Here is an 18404-nt window from a genome sequence, read left to right as displayed (position 1 = left end):
TGTGAGTTCTTGCAGATCAAGGCACAGCCTCACCGCGGGGGCCGTGACAGCCTCCTGTGCCTGCCAGGGGCTGCAGGAGTGCAGCCAGCTGGAGAAAGGGGGGCGGCACGACTTAGCGCCAGGTACCTGTAATGGGCTCAGGAATTTGGCTTCAGAGAACATCTGGCTTCCTCACCCCGTCTCCCAGACGCTTCCAGCAAGGGCCTTTCAGGAAGATGAATGGGAAGGCAGAGGTGATCAATCTGAGCCTCCCGCAGTAAAACTCTCCCCAGTCACTTCTGCGAGAGCCCCAGCTCGGGTATCGAGGTTGTGAGCACCCCCACACACCACAGCTAGGCCTGCAGGCTAGGCCTGCATAAAACCAGCAAGAGAGTTTCCTCCTGCCAATGTCTAAGATGATGCCCGGCCCTTGATAATACTGAAGGCCAATGTATTGCCTCTTATAGAGCCCCTCTGGAAATAGCTCCTCTGTGGCGAATAAAATGGCCCTATAAATTGCTGCCAGCCCACGCCCCCATTTAGTTCACCAAATAGTCTTGCAGACAGTATCTCTCTATTTGGTGCATAAAATGGTCTTGCAGATAACCACCAGCCCAGAAGAAAGTAGCCTTGCAGGAAAGCTCCCAGTACCTCCCATTTGGGGAATAAAATAGCCAGCCAATTAACTACCTGTCCACATGGCCTTATTGGTGAATTAAGTTGATAGCCCAGGTTACACCCCCATCCTTTCTTTTTCTTTTTTTTTTTTTTGAGACAGGGTCTTGTTCTGTCACCCAGGCTGGAGTGCAGTGGTATAATCATGGCTCACTGCAGCCTCGACCTCCCAGGCTCAAGAGATCCCCCTACCTTAGCTTCCCAAGTAGCTGGGACCATCAGCATATGCCACCACGCCTGGCTAATTTTCTGATCTTTTTCTTTTGTAGAGATGGAGTCTTGCTGTGTTGCCCAGGCTGGTCTTAAACTCCTGGGCTCAAGCAGTCCTCCAACTTCGGCCTCCCAAAGTGCTGAGATTACAGGTGTGACCCAGCACACCTGGCCGCAACTCCCTTTTGAGAAATAGCATGGTGTTGTCCTGCCAGCTGTACTCCCACTTCTGGTGAACATGGAGCCCCTGCAGACTTGCCCCTGGCCACCCTCACCTCAGGCCTCTCCCCCTCTTTCCTAGCGTCCGATTAGTGCCATGGCTGGCAGCCAGTGCAAATCCAGCTAAAGAAACAGTCTCCTCCAGTGGCTGTTTGATTTCCCGGCTCGGGTGAAGCCATCCTATCTCCCCTCTCTGGCCTGTAGGGAGAAGACAGACGACACCTCAGGGGAGGACAACGACGAGAAGGAGGCTGTGGCCTCCAAAGGCCGCAAAACTGCCAACAGCCAGGGAAGACGCAAAGGCCGCATCACCCGCTCAATGGCTAATGAGGCCAACAGCGAGGAGGCCATCACCCCCCAGCAGAGCGCCGAGCTGGGTGAGCTGGGGGCCAGGGATGCGGGTGGGGAAGGGGCTGGAGACACGGCGGGTTGCGCTCATATGAAAGTTTCGTGCAATTTGAGTTAATTGGCAACAGCCAAGGGGTTGGTGTAAGTCATGGTTGGAGTCAAATCCCAGCGCTACCTACTGGATGTGCTGTGTGGCCCAGCATGAATTCCTGAACCTCTCTGTGCCTCAGGGTCCTCATGTTCTCAGTGGGAGGAATCGGTGGTTACCTCTAACGTGGGGGGACAGTTGTAGTCACTTGCTATGTGAGAAGCACCTAGAACAGTGCCTGGGGTGTAGGAAGAGTTCAGTGGCTTCAACCACAGTGATTTCAGAGCAGGGAGATGTCACAAAAAATTCCCAGTGACCAGTTCCGGATTTTTTGGTTGTCGTTTTTAAAACAGAAGATCTGGCCACGCTTGGCCCAGGTTCCCATGAGGTGGCTGTTGTTGGGAGCCGAGTAACCACCACTCCTTCTTAGAATGTCATGGGCTCTACTTGTCCCCACCCAGCCTCTACCCTGGTAGGCATCTGGTTTTGTACCTTCACTTCCGTGGGCCTCAGTTTCCCCTTCTGTTGAGAAGGGTGTTCATCCCTCACTACCCTCCCAGAAAGTAGAAAAAAATGAGATGATGTGAGTGGCAGTTCCCAAGATTCGCCGCAGGGGGCAGCGGTGTGCGTCTGTTGTCTCTACTTTGTTTAGCTGTTAGGGTCCAGCCCTCCAGCCACTGCGGGAACCCACCCAGGGGCCCAAGCGCTCAGGCCGAAGCCCCGCCTGCCAGGGCTCATTCTCAGGGTGGAGATGCTGCTTCATCTCCCACAGACCCCCACCGTCCCCTGGGGTCCGGGTCATGCACCTGTCTCTTCTTCTCGTGGGATGTAGTTTGGACCTATTTCATAAATGGCCCACTCGAAGCTCAGAGAGGAAACGTTCCCTCTCTAAAAATTTCATTGTAGCTGGGGTTAGAACTCAGCCCCATTGGCCACAGAGCCTATGCAGCTCCTGCAGATATTTTCCAGCTGCCTCTTGGTGGCGGTGTACTTGGAGGCCCAGGGTGAAAGGGCTTTCTTCCTGCCTGATCTCTGGGGATAGTCCTCTCGGACCCAAGGCTGATGCTGGGGGCTCAGCCGCAGGGTGGAAAACACACTCCTAGGCCTTCCATGTCTCTTCTGGCACTGGGCACCCTCAGCACCCCTGGCACCCCTGGCTTCTGTAGGCTTCCTCTGGGAGTCCTGTGGGGAGGAATGGGAGCATCGATGAGGTCCCAGAGAGGCCCAGGCTGTGGCTGCAGAGATGGGGGAGGCTGGGGTGGCTCTGGCCTGTCGGGGCTGATGGGGCTGCCCATGGGGGTGGGGGCCGTCTCCCCTCTTCTGCTGGAACCTTCCGCCACTCCTCAGCCAGCCTCTGTTGGACACATACTCCCCCTGGCGCAGTTCCAGGTGCTGAGTCCATGGAGCTGACGTCCCTCGCACCCACCCCACTCATGGGTCTTAAGCAACTGGAAAGGAAGGGCCAGGGCTCACATCCAGAGGAGCTCGGCAGACAGACCCAAAAATAGTGCCACTGCAGAGATGCAGCCACCTCCAGCCAACCCCAAGGCCAGGTTGTGTCCCTTCCCAGTAACACCAGAAGCCCCTCCTTGTCCTGGATGAGTGGGGGTATGAACATTCCCTCTGGAGCAGGGCTTCTCCGCCATGGGCGATTTTACTCCCCCACTAGGGGACGCCAGGCAGTGTCTGTGAACAGTTTTGATGGTCACAATTGGAGTAGGGTTGCTGGAGTCCAGCGTGCAGAGTCCAGGGTTGCTAAGCATCCTGCCGTGATGGGACAGCCCCACAGTAATAGAAGAGCTGGGCTCCGAGAGGGTCCTCGGTCAGATGAGGTCCCGGCCCACCTGAAGCTTGTGTCCCACTGTCGCCACGTCACCAGGTGACCCCTTTCCCAACAGAGTGCAGGCAGAGGCAGTCATGGTCAAGGCCCTTGACTGCTTCAGTGTCCCCTTCTATAAAATGGGGTGATCGCAGGTGCCCCGACTTCAGCGGCTTGTGTGGAGGTTGGCCCCGACCAACGGCACGTGGGACTGCCCAGCACAGCTCCAGCCCAGCATAAAGGCTCAGGGAGTCAGGTGCCACGGTGGGTACTGGCTGGGGAGGGGCGTCTGAAATGTGGCCTTCCCACGGGGTTCAGAGCCGTGCGGTGACACCGTCAAGGCCTGGTCTACTCCCTCCCTGGCTCAAAGGAGAGAAAAGGGCAGAAGGCAAAGTGCCTCCTCTCCCGGCTCCTGCCAATAACCTGGCATCTTCTTTTCAGCCTCCATGGAGCTGAATGAGAGTTCTCGCTGGACAGAAGAAGAAATGGAAACAGCCAAGAAAGGTGAGGGGTGTGTGGCGGCTTTAAGCCTTGTTGGTTTGCATCCAGGGCGCCTGAAGCTCACGTGCTGGGGAGGGTGTTGACACATTTGGCCTTGAGCCAGGGGCTGTGGTGAGGCCTCTGGTGAGGTTCTGGTTCTGGGCTGTTCTCAGGTTTGTCACCCTGGAGCCTCAGTTTTACCTTCCAGAAAATGGGTCTGTGCAGCTGCGCTGTCAGGCTTGTCTTTGTGACTTGAGGGCGCAGCTCAGAGAGACACAGCTTGTGCTGTGCATGTAGTCAGCGAGTGGCTTCTGGGTGACCTCTGTGGCCAGCACCTCTGGGCCTTGGGGACAGAGCAGTGGCAGCACACCTGGGTATCTCGGGACAGTCAGAGCTTGCCGGCGGCCATCTCGGTAGAGTCCTGGGGTCAGGGAGACCTGCAGGGCGTTCATCCAGCCCTTAGAGCCCCAAAGGTCCTATCCTGGGCTCAAGTGTGCTGGGGCTTTGGAAACCTGTCTCAGGTTTGAGCACCCCAATCTGGGTGACGGGTTCTGGAGTGGATGGGGACACCCAGGCCGTTGGGGACAGTCGTGGGAGTGGCTCACACGGCAGGGAGCCAGCAGGCATTGGTGCTGGCAGCAGAAGCCATCCCGAGCAGATGGCCTTGTGATGTGCAGCACCGTGGGGGCTGGGGTCCAGTGCCTCCTAAGCCGGATCCCCTCTCAGCTGTGCTGTCTCCTGGCCAAGATCTTTACTTCCCAGCACAGTGACCTGCCTCTGGGCCTCGGTTTGCCCGTCTGTTGAGTGGGAGGGTCGTCTAGGTTGGCTGTGCGGAATCAGATAACCCTGTGTGAGGGCCCATGGTGGGCTGAGTGGGAGCGAATCTCCTCCCTCCCTCGGCCGTGCCTGGCCTGGGGCAGGGGCTGTCGGAGCTGGCGCATCACTGGCAGCACTGCTGAGGCCGGGGCAGCACCTGGCTCCCACGGCACGCTCACTCTCGGTTATCTAAGAGGTGGGGCCTGCTCCTGTCCCCGCCCATGTCCCTGTTTGTGGGCAAGGAGCCAGGAAGCAGAGGCCAAGGAGTGCCACGGGTTCCGGAGCTGGTGTGTGGGGCTGGGAGCAGGCCCAGGCCCCCACTCCCCGTCCCTGTCCCGTGCTTGGTCCCGTGGCCCTGCTGGAGTCGAGGCTGTCTGTGACGTGCGGTTTCTTTGTGCAGAAAGCTCCAGGTCGTGACTTATGGAGGGAACAAAGGCCCTTTATAGCAAACGCTCTTGGCACATAAGGGCAGGTGTATCTGAGAACAGCCTGGATCACGGGGCTCCTGGGCCCGGCCCCGTCCTCCACTGTAGTTGTGGGGGGTGCTGAGGGTCCCCACAGCCCTGAGAAGACCCCCACAGCCCCCGCCCTCACCCCGGGACCCTGCCCCTCGCCCTCAGAGCTCCTCCGGGGGCAGTCTGCCCTCCGCCCCCCAGGCTGAGGTGAACCTGGACCCAGAGAGACCCTCGCACCATTCAGGAAGGAGGGCCTGCCTGCCGCTGCAGGTCAGGCTCTGTGTGTGGTGAGTGAGAGGCATGCCAGCGGGGCCTGGGCACTGTATCCAGCTGGTAGGGCCTGGGCACTGTATCCAGCTGGTAGGGCCTGGGGCTGCTGTCAGCCCCCAGAGAGGCCACATTGTTGTTTCTCTGTCTTTAATGTCCACTTGGTGGTTTCTGGCATGTATTTCATTATAGGCTGCAAAAGAAGCTTTATTGAAATTGTGTGATTCCCGCCGCCTTTTATTTAATTTTGAGATGATACACATGGCACGAAGCTCAGCATTCTAACCACTGGAAAGTGAACATCTCAGTGGCATGAAGTACATCTGCATTGGTGTGCAACCCTCACCACTGCCTAGTTCCAGAACTTTTTCTCACCCCAGATGGAAATCCCATACCCATTAGCAGTCCCTCCCAGGGCCCCGCCCCAGCCCTACCAGCCCCTGGCAGCCACTAATGCACTCTCTGTCTCTGTGGATTGGCCTGTTCTGGGCGTTTCCAATGAATGGAATCCTACAGTTTGTGGCCTTTTGTGTCTGGCTCCTTTCTGGGAGCATGATGGTTCTGAGGTTCATCTGAGTAGCTTTGTACGGCTGAATAATATTCCCTCACCTGCACGGACCACATTTTGTCGGTCGTTCATCTCTTGGGGGATGTGTGGGTTGTTTCCATGTGGCTGTTGTGAAGAGTGCTGCTGTGAGCATTTGTGTAAAATTGTGTGAGATTTTTAATCACAGGTGAGTCCCTGGGATCTCAGCCTGTTGGCTGGGAGATTTCCCAGAGCACCCACCCATCGGAGGACTCCGCGTGGACATCCCCAAACGGTCAGCCCAGGGTCCCACCGCCTCTCCATCCCTTCTCGTGTCTCGTGTTGTCACTACCACCTCCTCACCGGTGACCACCCCCGCCCCCACCGCCCATTGCCTGAGAACTGGGAAGACAGTGCCTGCCCTCTGTTTGCCTTCTGGAAGGGCAGATCCGGAGGCTGGGAGGACGGCTGGGGATGACTCACCGGCGGAGAGGAGCCCGTGTCCCACCATCTCAAGGTTGGGTCCTCAGTGATGACAGTGAGCTCATCCTGGGTCCTGCCCATGGAGACGGCAGTGAGCGTCCCCTGGGGGCCGTGCACGCGGAGGCCCTGCTCAGTGACATTTGTAATAATGTCGTGAGCAGCAGCATGTTCGTCTGCCGTGAATTACAGCAATCTGGACAATTACTGCTCAGGGTGGCTGCTAATGGCTGTGTGTTCCAGGCGATGGCAGGAGGGAGCGGGGGTGGGGCGGGGAGACAGGTGCTGGCAGGCCCCAGCAACTCCTCCATAGGGGGTCGGGGTGGAGAAGCTAGGAACGTTCTGGAGCCCCCGCCCAGAAAACCAAGAGTTAGGAAAAGGGACTGGAGAAGCGGCTATTGCTGAGGCAGATGGTCTCTGCCCATCCTTTACCCATCATTTCAGCAACATAGTGCCTCACTCTCTGTGTGGCAGGGGCACTCAGGAATGAGCCAGCCCCACCCCTCCCTCGGGGAGCCTGGGCAGGTAAGCAGCCAGGTTTCCCCAGGGCCTTCGGACCCCAGCCTGCCTGAAGCCTCTGGAAGACTTTAGTAGCATGGCCCTGGAGGATGAGCAGCAGAGGGGCCCCATTCCTAGGGAGAAACCAGGTCTCAACCCCCTGGATGTTTCAGCTGTGTGACCTCAGGCAAGTCAGCCAACCTCTCTGTGCCTCAGTTTCTTCATCTGTACAGTGGGATTCAAGGAGCGCCCACTGTATGTTTCCTGTGGCTGCCATAATAAAGGGTCATGAACTGGGTGGCTTAAAATAAATGTATTCTCTCACTGTTCTGGAGGCCAGAAGTCCAAGTTGAAGGCATCCAAGAGGCTGCATTCCCTCCAGAGGCTCTGGGGAGGAGCCTGCCTTGCCTCCCCCAGCCCCTGGCGCCTGCCTGCAGCCTTGGCAGTCCCTGGCTCATGACCACATCCCTCCAGGCTCTGCCTTTGTCTTTGTGTGCCTTTCTCCCTGCGTGTCTCTGTCCACATTTTCCTCTTCTTACAAGGACCCACCCCAATCCAGTATGACCCCACGTTGACTTGATCACATCTGCAAACATCCTTTTTCCAAATAAGGTCACATTCATAGGTTCTGGTGGACACAAAATGTTGGGGGGATGCTCTCCAACCCAGCACACCCACCTTCCTGGGGTTTTGGTGAAAGTACACAGAAGAGCTGAGGGCAGTGCTGCCCGGGGCATACCGACCTCCCCATCACTTTGTAGCTACAAGCAGCTCCTTAGCCCCCTGACCTTGGCCTGGCCCATCTGTTTCACCCTCAGTTACCATCGTTCTCTCAGATGAGGCAGGGATGCTACCTCCCAGGGGCACTTTAAAGACGGAGCGAGCCACATAGGAACAGTCCTTGGTATACAGTAGGCACTCAGAAATGGCAGGCCGCTAGCTTAGGGCGCAGTCTCCAGACCCTGCTCCCTAGGTTTGGGTCCCAGCTGTGCCTCCTGCAGAGTCTGACCCTGAGCAGGTACCTACACTTTGGGGCCTCGGCCCCCGCCACCTCTGTCTTCGCCCCGGCGATGGGGGTCGGAGGTAAGTCACCTGCCAAGCAAATGTACAGTGACAACTGGAGGAACTTCCATGGTGCTGGGGGCCACCAGTCAGAGGGCTACCCCGAGGAAGGGGCCGACACCCAGAGCACGAAATAATAGTGAATATCACCCAGTAACACCGTGGAGCCCATCCTGCGTGCTGGGCACTGCTGGAAGCTTTGTGTGTATGAAGTCACTTTATCTCTACCAACCTGACTAGGAGGCAGGTGCTGTTAATACTTCTGTTATTCAAATGAGGAAACCGAGGCCTAGAGAGGCTTAGTGAGCAGCCTAGGGTCACACAGCTGTGAAGTGGTAGAGCTGGGATTTGAACCCAGGCACTCTACTTGCAGAGTAGGAATGGGGTTGGCATGAGAGCTGAACAGGTTAGTCCATGGGCCAACCTGTTGACCAGGTAACAAAGGCAGGACAGGCATGTGCAAAGGCCCCATGGCAGGGGCAGTGTGGCCCCATGAGAAGTGGTTGAATCCCAGAAGGTAGAGGGGCCACCGGGAGCCTGGCCTTGCCAGCATGGGATGGAGTGTAGCTATTACTCTAGAGCGTGGGAGGCCACTGGGGAGGGGCTGGGGACATGATGGCCATAGGGTTTCTGGTGGGCAAGTGAGCAACCTCCCTTCTTGTGTGCATGCGGCTGTGGCTGCCTGCCCTGGGGCTTGTGCTGCCTGAGGACCGAGAATGTTCAGGAGGCAGCTTCCCCAGGAACCGGGCAGCTCCGGGGAGCTGGCCGCCTGCCCTCGGGCCCAGCGCCAAGTGGGGAAGGAGGGGCAGGGCAGGAGCAGGGCTGGGATGAGGGACTCGGTTCCCCTGGGAAAGGTCAGCCTGGCCTGGCTTGGAAGCCTGACCCAGCTGTGCGAGAGGCCCGAGGCTCTGCTGGCAGCTCCTCCAGGCCCCAGCCCTCTTCTCTGGCGGGCAGAGAACCTGCTGTGGAGGGGGTTGGGAGGCTCCCGGTCACACCATTGTCACACCATTCTAGACCGGGAGTTGGCTCTGGCCCGCCTCCGGGCTGCCAGTCCTTCCCAATCTCCAGGGAGCGGCCAACAGTGGGAGGATGTGCAAGACCAGGCCCTGGTGGCTCCCAGTAAGCCCGGGCAGACCCCAGAGGCCTCCCCCAGGACTCCAGCTGCCTTGTCTAGTGGCCTTGCCACTTCTCACAGGAGCGAGGCAGGAACCACCCATTGCTGTGCACATGGGCTGGCCTGACGGGCTTTTATAGATGAAGCGTCTAAGGCATGGGAAGGGGAGGGGTGAGCCCCCAGCCTGGAGCCTGGAGAGCAGGACCTCCTCCACTACATGTCCACTGGGAAAGCCTTGGGCTGTGCCCACCATGGGCCCCCCAAAAGAGGAGCGCCTGTGTGCTCTGCCGCACAAAGCTGCCAGAGCTTACAGTGGGGTGGGCGGGCCGGTAGGCAGTGCTGCTGCTCCTGGGTTTGGGTCTGCCCGGCTACTTCCTGGTGCAGCTGTCCGTCAGGGCCCAGCAGGAGGCGACACTCGAGCTGTGTGACTCAGGAGGGGTGGTATACCAGGCAGGGACGGTGCGGTGCCTCGGGGCTCGCGTCCAAGGAGACTGTCACCACGTGTGGTCTGGAGAGAGACCACTAGGGAGGGTGCATGTCTGGGGCTGGTTGGCCTCCCGGCCGGATATGTGAGAAACAGTCTGTTGTGATGGTTTGGAGGGAGGAAAAAATTGGGGTTTCTGCAGGAACTTGGGGTACAGCCAGACACAGGGGCAGGGTCTGGACCACACTCTTGCTCCTGTCAGCACCCTTGAAGATGAAATCAGGCATCAACAAGCCCCCCTTCCCTCCTAGGGGAGACCCATGAATCCGCATCCACATGGCTCCTGACTCAGGGAAGGAGCACCTGGCGGTCGATGCGGTAGTAATGATGCCTGTCGTCACGTGGCGTGGCTGGTGCTCACGAACAAGGCAGGCCCTCCACACGCGTGTGTACACACGCACGCATACACACGACTTCTGCTTTGCACAGGAGAAGACCAAGGCCAGAGGGAGAGCCAGTGCTCACCCAGCCCACTGCGGTGGACACAGGGCATGGGGTGGTCTGTCTGACCCCCCAGGCTGGCTTCCAACTTTGCTCTGCTCTGTAGGAAAACGTGACATTGAAAGGTGTAACGTGGCACTTCCGGAAATGGTAGGCGAGACAGCGCCAGGTCGTATGCAGGTGACTTTATTTCATCTTAATGAGTCTGGGTTTTTTTGAGAGCTGGGAGAAGACGTAGCTTTTTCACATCGTACCTATGATTTACGGGTATAATTGCTGATGCGGAGGCTAAGGCAGATAGCGAGGCTGATTTTTGAAAGAGTAGATGGAGAGAAAAGAGTGGGGAGGTGCAAGTCCAGGTGTGATGTTATCCAGCCAACATCCTGATAGGATTTCAGGATGGCAGGAGTTCGGGAAGTCCTGACAAGACACGCAGGAGTGCCCGGCCTGTCAAGGGTGTCAATGCGGAGGCACCGTCCCTGTGGAACCCCCCCCCCGCCAGGGCTTGGGGTTTCTGAAATGAGGAAGTGGCATGACTCAGGCCCAAGACGGCTGGGTTCTTTTCCTCCCAACTTTGATAGGGTTTTAGGCAGAGCATGCTGAGTTTCTCGGGGAAAATGGCAGGTGGGGGGCGGTGGTCGATGCACCCCTCTGGCAGGCAGCCTGTGAGTCTTCATGGAAGGGGTGGGAAACGTCAAGGCTGGAGGTGACTGGCTGGGGTGGGGAGAGCGAGTGTGTTTCCAGGGTTGGGGGCTGACTTCCAGAGAAAACAGCTGCAACATCCCCAGATGCAGGTGGGCGGTGGTGTGGTCCCCTCGGAGTCCTAGCTGTGGATGCAGGTTTGCAGACCCTTGGAGAAAAGCAGCTTGGAGGCATCTGAGCGGCAGCACAGGCCTCCCTGAGGGCCAGAGCACCTGAGCCGAGGAGGCTGAGTCCTGGCCCCCACAAGAACAGCTCGTCATGGGCCCGCGGATGGCATGTGGGACGCTGCCCCATGGGTGCCCAGAGGAGGATTAGCCCAGCGGGGCCCCAAGCACCCACTCCCGTGGCCGCCGGGCCCCTGCGCCTGGCTCTCCACTCGGCGTCTGTGACTCAGACCTCCTGGCTGGACTTCCTGTCTTGGTCAATTTCACTTCCTAGTTCCTGCCTCCTGACTCTTCAGAACGAAACTCCTTCCTTAGAAATTAGAAGTGGGGTCGGGGAATCCAGACCACAGGGCATGGTGGCAGAATCTGCCATCTCCGCCCTGGCACAGAGTGTTGGGGGCGTGTGCCTGGATGTCAAGGGGGATACCCCAGCCTCTTTTGGGAGGGTTCGGGGCCCCCTGCAGAGCTAAACGCACAGCCCCCTCTTCCTTTGCAAGCTCCTTACCAGGGACCCAGACGGGTGGCAGAGATGCCCAGGGTGCTCAGCAGGCCCCGGACACCTGCCGATGAGCAGTGGGACGAGGGAGCTAATTTCAGAGGCGGTGAAAGCTATGAAGATGATCAAACCCTGGGATGGCAGGGCGACGGGGGGGGGTCACTTTGGAGGGGCGGGCAAGGAAGGCTTCTCTGAGGAGCCATCACTTGAGCCAAGACCAGAGGGAAGACAAGGCACATCTGTGAGAAAACCCGTGGAGGCAGCAGGAGCAGCTGGTGCAAAGGCCCTGGGGCACACACGAGTGACCCAGAGAGAGGCTGGGCGGGTTCATGGAGCTGGCTCCTAAGGGTCACCTGGGCCGTGCTAGGGCCTTTGGATTTTATTCCAAGAGCTTCATGTGGTCACTGGAAGATTTTAAGCAGAGGAGTGATTTCACGGGGTTGGCATCCTTAAAAGTGCACTGAGACCTCCCCTGCAGAGGGCAGAGGGCAGGACTCAGGTGGAGAGGCCCAGATCCCTGATGTGGTTGAGGTTTGTTGCCCTCCCCTGGCATCGTGCCCCAGGACGAGGGCTGGGGGTGCAGGGACATTCCAGAGACGCCTTCTGCTCCCCAGATTTTTAGGGGGCAGGATGGAAGGGCTGGGAGTTAAAGGGAAAAGCAGGTTAATGATCCCAGAGTCAGGGAAGTCGGTCGTGACCTGAATCTAGGATCCAAAGTTCAGCTCAGTTAACTTTCAACCTTCTGGGTGGCTCCCCGGCATTTCCCACAGTGTTCCTTCACGGCTGCAGGGGCTCTCGGAGGAGGACGAAAGGGGCAGCTGTGGTCCCGAGACCCCCCCAGCAGCAGAGGGCTCTTTGGGGACCCCAAATCCCCAAACCCTTCCCCCTCCCCTAAATGGTTGGCGGTCTCATGTGCACCCTGCAAAGGCTCCTCAAATCCCGGGATCCCTCCGGAATGCGAGGCTAGCCCTGCCCACCCACAGTCCCCGACAGAGGGCTCGGTCAGCCTCGGCAGCATCAGGCCAGGCAGGGGGCAGAGCTCAGGTGGAACTGACACGGAGGGTGGGGGGACGGGCGGCGGGGGATGATGGCGGAAGAAGCTGTTTGCTCCCTGTCTGCCGGGGGTGGAGAAGCTCTGTTTTTCTGGAACCCTCATCTGTTCTTACCACTGCTGACGCCGCCACCGCCGCGGATGGGGAGAGAGGGAGGGGGAGCCAGTGCCAAGTTGGCCCGCCCCTTGTGAACCTGGGCCTCTGCCACGCTCCCCCGCCCGCCTGCCCGCCCGCCGCGAGCCTCCGTCTGGAGGTCACATTCAGTCCTGCCGCGTCTCGCTGGGTCAGGCAGCAAGAAGATCAGAGCTGAGCCCGGCTGCGGGGGACACGGCTGCCCTGCTGGGCCTGGGTCCTTGGATTTTGCCCGGCCCGGGGGTCTGTGGGCTCTGGCCGGCATTGCTCGCTGAGCGTCCGCACTGGGCACATTGGTGCTGGAGGAGCTCGGCACGCTGCGCCCCGGTGATACCTGGCCCAGGGGCATCCCACACGCACCACTGACAACTTCCCGCCACCCACCACCCTCGGGGAAGGGCACCTCGCGCGCCCACAGCGGCTTGGGGACGGCGTCAGAGGTGGCAGCGGCCGCTGGAGGAGCCCCGGGCCACCACAGGCAGGCGGACTTGTGAGGAGCTGCCTCCCGCCCGCCCCTCTCGAGCCAGCCTCCGCCCGCCGCGTCCCTCCCTCCCTCGCTCCCTCCCTCCCTCCCTCCCTCCCTCCCTCACCGTGGGACGGAGAAGGATGTGAGGCTGAGCTGAGCCGCCAGCAGACGCCAACCAGCAGCCTCGCAGAGCCGACCGCGGCCGCCCAGCCTGCCGGCCCACTTCGGCCCGCTCCCTGGGGCATCTTCCCAGCCCTATGTTTCCGGAAAACTTGGCCGAGGGGGAGACGCGAATGAGAGGATGTGAGTGAGTGGTCCTGGGGAGGGGATGGGGGACTGCGGGTGCAGGGACAGGGACCGCAACGTGGCCATCTGGGATTTGAGGCTGGGCAGCTGGGGAGTCGGAGTTCTGGGCCCCTGGAGTGGATGGGGGTCCCAGCCCATCCTTTCCCCCATGCCCTCTCCTCTCTCTCCCTGCTGGGCTGAAGCTCTCCTGGAAGCAGGGGTGGGACCTGGATCTGTGCCTGGGAAGGTCTGTGATGCTGTGTGCACAGGGGGTCTCTCCAAGTGGACGGGGGCTTCAAGCTGGGTCTGGCGGGGTGGTCTCCAAGGCACGGTAGGGTAGAAAGTCTTTCTCTCCGTGCCTGGCAGCCTCTGCCTGGGCTTCCCAGAACAGGAACCAGAGGAAGCCAGTGCCAGCCTGCCCCTACCCCGCAGCCCTGGCCGGCACTAATGGGACACCCACTCTGGCTCCTCACACGGCAGTTAAGGAAACTGAGGCCGGAGAGCAGAAGGGCTGGCCAAGACTGCTAGCGAGCTCTGGCCAGGCGCCTGGATGACTCTGCCCAGCTCCTTTGGGAGCCGTATGTTTTCAGGAAGGGCTGGGTGACCCCCACCCCCACCTCCATCCCCTCTCCTCTGCCCTCAACCCACTCCCACTGCCCCCATGATCGGAGTTAATTAGGGTCCCCAGCCCCCAGCCAGGCTCCTAGCTACCTCCTTATTTATTGACTGAGTTTGGAAATGTCAACCTCCCCAGTGTTGTTGGGCCACCCTCACCCCACCCCCTGAGCTCTCCATGCCCACCCCACCCAGCAGGCCCAGATGGGAGACCCGCCCCCTCTCGCCCTCTCCCACCCGGGTGCCGGGTCTGTGATCCCTCTGGCCCGGTGTGTTTGCCTGGGCTCTCTTGGCCCCGGCTGGGGAAATATAAATAAACGCGCGGCCCTGTCCGCCAGGTTCTGGAAGTGGCAGCTGCTGCTGGCGCGGGCGGAGGGAAAGGTCAGGGGCCGGGTGCCACTTGATCCCACGCCCCGGCCCTCCCCTTCTGCGCCTGTCCTTGAGGAACCCTGAGGAGCGGGCTGTGAGGCCACGTGGCTCCCAGGGCCACGGCAGGCGAACAGGTGGCCTGTCAGTCAGTGCCACCCCCACGCCACGGGGGCCAGAGGACCCGGAGGGCAGGAAGTCTGGGGCCCCACGCCCGCGTTGCCCCCCTTGGCTGGTCCTCTAAGCTTGGGTGAGTTGGCGGGACCCTCTGAACCGAGATTTCCCCCTCCTGGGGATGGGAAAATGGTCACAGCCATGACAGCAAGGATGAGACGGAACCAAGTCTTTGAAGGGCTTTGCAAACTCTGTGTGTCAGTTAGCCGTGCCACGGGCTGATGTGTTGATGTTTCTGCTGCTGTTGTTTTATTTGCATTAGAGCCTTGTGTGTAGCAGGCAGGCAGCCAGCACGTGGGTGGGTGGGTGGGTGGATGAATGAATGAATGAATGAATGAATGAATGAATGAAAATACCAACACAGACGGCTGCCCCTCAGCTCCCCAACCTCTGAACAATTTTAGCTGGAGCTTGGCTTGCAGCTTGATTTTATTCAAGGAAAATGGTTAAAACCTTCATTATGGGAAATCCTTCATTAAAGTCCTTACAAGTGGAGCTCCAGCTCAGAGAGGCTGCCATGTCCCGAGCTACGTGATTCAGCCTTGGGGCCTGCTGCCCTGGAGGGGCACCCTCTTGCCGCACAGACCCCTAGGTCAGGAGCACTCCCTGTCTCTCCCACAGCCCTGGGAAAGTGGGCAGGCCCTACCTGCATGGACTGGCTGGGCCACACAAGGTCACGCCGCTGGAGACACAGGCATAAATATAGAGCTGCCTGGCCTGTGCCTGTGTGTGCCGCAGCTCGCCGGGCAGACAGGCCGAGACCGGGGGCTTGGCTTCCCAGGCACTGCCTCCGGTGCAGCAGGGGCTGTGTTTCTGCCGAGCCTGGTGTTTGTGGCCTTGAAACTAGAACCTGGGGGGCGGCATGCTCTGGTTCTGGCCTGAGACCTAGTGATGGAGGGAGCTTTTTCTGCCGATTCCTGGAGGGTCTCTTCCCACAGCAGGAGGTCTGTGAGGCTGAGAGAACCTCCTGGTTGTGCGGGTTGGGGTTTGGGAGCAAATTCCAGCTGCGCAACCAAGCCTGGTGGGCCCCGAGTCCTGAGTGGGCCTTTAGGTGCCCTTAGGGAGTTTGGGCCCTGGAGGTGCCCCAGTTAACCTGGGCCTGGAGGCTCCTGGCCCCAGCTCATCCCCACCCTGACTTCCACCCTCCCATCCCCTGCTCACCACGTCCCTTCCTTTCGCTGGGCCGGTGTGGCCGGAAAACAACCCGTCTCCCGAGGCCTCGCCTGCAGCTGTGAGCGAGTGTCAGGGCTGGGTCACGTAGGCCAGGCCCTCCGCCCAGCAGGAGAGGTGGGGCCTGGGCAGAGGCTGTGCGTTCTGGATATTCACAGCCCTCCGCCCCCAGACTCCCGCGCAGTGGCCTCGGTGGGACTTCACCTGTCGCTTTTGGCTCCTCCAGCCCAGGCCTTTCCCATGCATCCTGGCCTGGAGTCAAGTGACTGAGAAACCAGACCCCAGAGGCCAGGACTGCCACCCTCTAGTACCTTCCCCGCTAGGGGACACGTGGCCCATCACTGTCTCTTCTTCCAGAGGTCCTGGGCCTGAGCAGGGAGCCCCAGGCTGGGTTTCTGCTCCAGGCCCGTTTGCCGCCCAGGCCATGGATGCAGGCCCCCTCTGCGTGCCGGGCCTGGCCTCTTCTCACTGCCCTCCTCTCCTGAGACAGGTCTCCTGGAACACGGCCGCAACTGGTCGGCCATCGCCCGGATGGTGGGCTCCAAGACTGTGTCGCAGTGTAAGAACTTCTACTTCAACTACAAGAAGAGGCAGAACCTCGATGAGATCTTGCAGCAGCACAAGCTGAAGATGGTGAGCCCCCAGTCACGCTGCACCGCGCCTCTGGGAAGCTGGGAGAGGAGCCCAGACTGCCTCAGGAGATGTCTCTGCACCCCAGGAGGCATGGGCCAGGGAGGGGCTATTATGCCGCCTTGTTAGAACTCAGCTTCTGGGGGTTCAAGCCCGGGAGTACCCCGAGATGGCTGCAGGCGGCAATGCTGCTATGAGTGTCCCTGCCTTGGAGACGGGCCGGGCCAGGCTGCCCTCCACCCCCACCCTGCACCCCACTCCTCTCAGACAGACACCTCTGGGGGCCCTCAGCCCTGTCTCACGGTGTGGGGGAAGGAGCGCGGTGGACCAGACTGACTCAGCCAGGAATTCGGGCTGTCAGCGCGTTGGAATGAGGACCCGGAGGCAAATGGGTCCTGAGCGAGTGGCTCCCCTGCCCCATTTGACCTCACAGCTTTAGGGCTGCCGTGGTTGGGGAGGGACAGGTCTGGGGGGGCGGGGGCGGACGTCTCAGCCCCAGCATCCTGGAGGGCTTGAGGCAGGCCACGGGAGGCTGAGACCCTTCCCTCCTCCACAAGCACAGAAGGTGCAGGCTCGCCTCGCCAGCGTGTAAATGGCCTCTGAGGAGCAGCCGCTTCTTCCACAGCTGTTTCTGGGAATTGAGGAGCATTTTGGGGAGACCTCTGCTGCCTTCCCTCTCTCCTTCCCTTCCTCCTCCTTCCCTTCCTCCCTCCTTTCTCCCTCTTTGACACACTTGCCAAGCATTGTCCCCTTTTTGGAGCTGGGGAAACTGAGGCTTAGCCAGGCTCATGTGCGACTGAATTGCGATATGCACCCACAGTTATGAGATCAGCACCCACGCTCTTCATCGCTAGGCTGCGTGTTTCCTCATCGATACAGAAGCACTGAGGGAGGGGTTGCATAGCTCCCCTCCCCCAGGACTACTCCTCCCCCCGCCACTCCCAAACCATGACATCGGGCTGCCTTGTGCCTGGGTGTAAAGTGTGTGCAGTGGGTTCCGGGCAGGCCATGCTGAATTGCTCCCTCAGTGCAACCTGCTGAGGCCCAGAGAGGGTGAGCAGGCTGTGAGGTCACACAGCCTGCAGTGGGAGGACCAGGTATAGCCTCCCCCTGTTTGAACTCCGCCCAAGCACTGTGCAGAATTTAAGGACATCCTTCCACCCTCCCGAGTGGGTTCTTAGTGAGTCATGTGTGCGCGCGGCCGCTGGTGGCTCCGGGACCGAGGGGCCACGGTCCCACGGCCCTGTGGTCAGGGCTGAGATCCACCCTCTGGCCTCAGGGAGGCCCCTCCCCATCACTTCCAGTTAAGCAGTGCCCCGCGTGCCCTCCACATTGGCCCCTGGGATTTGTCCCCAGAGCTCAGGGCTTCAGGCAGCGCCTTTTCCTTCTGGATGCTTCGGGCCTTCTGGTTGGGTGTGGAGGAAGGCACCGCATCTGGCTGAATGTGCAGAACCCCGTCCCTAACACTTGCTGAAGTCCCTTGTGGCAAAGAGGGCCTGAGCCAGAGCAGCCTGGGGGCGCAGAAGGGGGCCTGGGCCGGGGGATGTTGTGGGCCATTGATTCTGTCAGCCAGGTCAGGAGTCTGAGGTGGTTCATCCAGGATGACTTGGGGGCAGGGCTTTGGCCCTGAGCATCTCCCCAGGAACAAAAAGGGCCTCCTGCTTTCTCCCCAGCTGTCCTTTCACTTTCTCTCTCCTCCCCCCGCCTCCCCTCTCTGGGGCTCCCTCCGCCTGTCCCCCTCACCCCACGACCATGGACGTCTCCCCCCGCTGCAGCCTGCTGCCACACAGCCTGGCTTTCCAGGCTTCCGCAGGGTGTGGCCCCACTGTACCCCTAGAGACTCCAAAACCTGAGAGTGGCTTGGAGGACCAGAGACCCCAGCACGGTGAACCATCCCATTAGGCCCAGGGCGAGACTGGGGTCAAGGCCCAGCTTGTGGATTTGGGCACCCCTGTGACCTTGGGCAGTGAATTCAGCCTTCTAAGCCTCAGTTTCCCCATCTGTAAGGTAGGAGAATAACAGTTGTTATCCAAGAGGTCCTATGAGGAGTGAACGAGTGATTACCTGTGAGGTCCTTAGTGCCTGCCAGAGGGGCAGCGCTCCGGGAGGGCGACGTGCCCTAGTTACTCTTACTGCTGTGGTTATTGTTATTTTATCTGGATGCCATCTACCCCCTTCTCAGGGCCACCTG

At 59.9% G+C, this 18404-nt stretch overlaps 1 protein-coding gene across 3 annotated transcripts in view, besides 10 other annotated features; it reads left to right on the top strand.

The window, feature by feature from the left end:
• The window catches only part of NCOR2 (nuclear receptor corepressor 2), a 243198-nt gene that overhangs the window by 165652 nt on the left and 59142 nt on the right, over positions 1-18404 (top strand). For all 3 annotated transcript variants that reach the window (NM_001077261.4, NM_001206654.2, NM_006312.6), the window contains exons 17-19: positions 1288-1460; positions 3780-3842; positions 16074-16216. In NM_001077261.4, the coding sequence (NP_001070729.2) occupies positions 1288-1460; positions 3780-3842; positions 16074-16216 (379 nt within the window). The remainder of the gene's footprint in view (positions 1-1287; positions 1461-3779; positions 3843-16073; positions 16217-18404) is intronic.
• Positions 2275-2774: an enhancer, noted in NCBI's record as "H3K4me1 hESC enhancer chr12:124883733-124884232 (GRCh37/hg19 assembly coordinates)". NCBI's record gives its function as "activates a minimal SCP1, AML or CMV promoter by ChIP-STARR-seq in naive H9 embryonic stem cells {active_cell/tissue: H9 hESC(naive)}" and the evidence as "EXISTENCE:reporter gene assay evidence [ECO:0000049][PMID:30033119]".
• Positions 5871-6558: an enhancer, noted in NCBI's record as "H3K4me1 hESC enhancer chr12:124879949-124880636 (GRCh37/hg19 assembly coordinates)". NCBI's record gives its function as "activates a minimal SCP1, AML or CMV promoter by ChIP-STARR-seq in naive and primed H9 embryonic stem cells {active_cell/tissue: H9 hESC(naive and primed)}" and the evidence as "EXISTENCE:reporter gene assay evidence [ECO:0000049][PMID:30033119]".
• Positions 6559-7248: an enhancer, noted in NCBI's record as "H3K4me1 hESC enhancer chr12:124879259-124879948 (GRCh37/hg19 assembly coordinates)". NCBI's record gives its function as "activates a minimal SCP1, AML or CMV promoter by ChIP-STARR-seq in primed H9 embryonic stem cells {active_cell/tissue: H9 hESC(primed)}" and the evidence as "EXISTENCE:reporter gene assay evidence [ECO:0000049][PMID:30033119]".
• Positions 9319-10008: an enhancer, noted in NCBI's record as "H3K27ac-H3K4me1 hESC enhancer chr12:124876499-124877188 (GRCh37/hg19 assembly coordinates)". NCBI's record gives its function as "activates a minimal SCP1, AML or CMV promoter by ChIP-STARR-seq in primed H9 embryonic stem cells {active_cell/tissue: H9 hESC(primed)}" and the evidence as "EXISTENCE:reporter gene assay evidence [ECO:0000049][PMID:30033119]".
• Positions 10976-11155: an enhancer, noted in NCBI's record as "active region_7284". NCBI's record gives its function as "activates an Ori minimal core promoter by ATAC-STARR-seq in GM12878 lymphoblastoid cells {active_cell/tissue: GM12878}" and the evidence as "EXISTENCE:reporter gene assay evidence [ECO:0000049][PMID:35858748]".
• Positions 12605-12674: a silencer, noted in NCBI's record as "silent region_5057". NCBI's record gives its function as "represses an Ori minimal core promoter by ATAC-STARR-seq in GM12878 lymphoblastoid cells {active_cell/tissue: GM12878}" and the evidence as "EXISTENCE:reporter gene assay evidence [ECO:0000049][PMID:35858748]".
• Positions 14886-15620: an enhancer, noted in NCBI's record as "H3K27ac-H3K4me1 hESC enhancer chr12:124870887-124871621 (GRCh37/hg19 assembly coordinates)". NCBI's record gives its function as "activates a minimal SCP1, AML or CMV promoter by ChIP-STARR-seq in primed H9 embryonic stem cells {active_cell/tissue: H9 hESC(primed)}" and the evidence as "EXISTENCE:reporter gene assay evidence [ECO:0000049][PMID:30033119]".
• Positions 15621-16357: an enhancer, noted in NCBI's record as "H3K27ac-H3K4me1 hESC enhancer chr12:124870150-124870886 (GRCh37/hg19 assembly coordinates)". NCBI's record gives its function as "activates a minimal SCP1, AML or CMV promoter by ChIP-STARR-seq in naive H9 embryonic stem cells {active_cell/tissue: H9 hESC(naive)}" and the evidence as "EXISTENCE:reporter gene assay evidence [ECO:0000049][PMID:30033119]".
• Positions 16358-17093: an enhancer, noted in NCBI's record as "H3K27ac-H3K4me1 hESC enhancer chr12:124869414-124870149 (GRCh37/hg19 assembly coordinates)". NCBI's record gives its function as "activates a minimal SCP1, AML or CMV promoter by ChIP-STARR-seq in naive H9 embryonic stem cells {active_cell/tissue: H9 hESC(naive)}" and the evidence as "EXISTENCE:reporter gene assay evidence [ECO:0000049][PMID:30033119]".
• Positions 17094-17830: an enhancer, noted in NCBI's record as "H3K27ac-H3K4me1 hESC enhancer chr12:124868677-124869413 (GRCh37/hg19 assembly coordinates)". NCBI's record gives its function as "activates a minimal SCP1, AML or CMV promoter by ChIP-STARR-seq in primed H9 embryonic stem cells {active_cell/tissue: H9 hESC(primed)}" and the evidence as "EXISTENCE:reporter gene assay evidence [ECO:0000049][PMID:30033119]".

This window comes from Homo sapiens, chromosome 12 (assembly GCF_000001405.40).
Source record: "Homo sapiens chromosome 12, GRCh38.p14 Primary Assembly".
NCBI lineage: Eukaryota > Metazoa > Chordata > Mammalia > Primates > Hominidae > Homo > Homo sapiens.
This window is presented reverse-complemented; position numbering and strand designations above follow the sequence as displayed.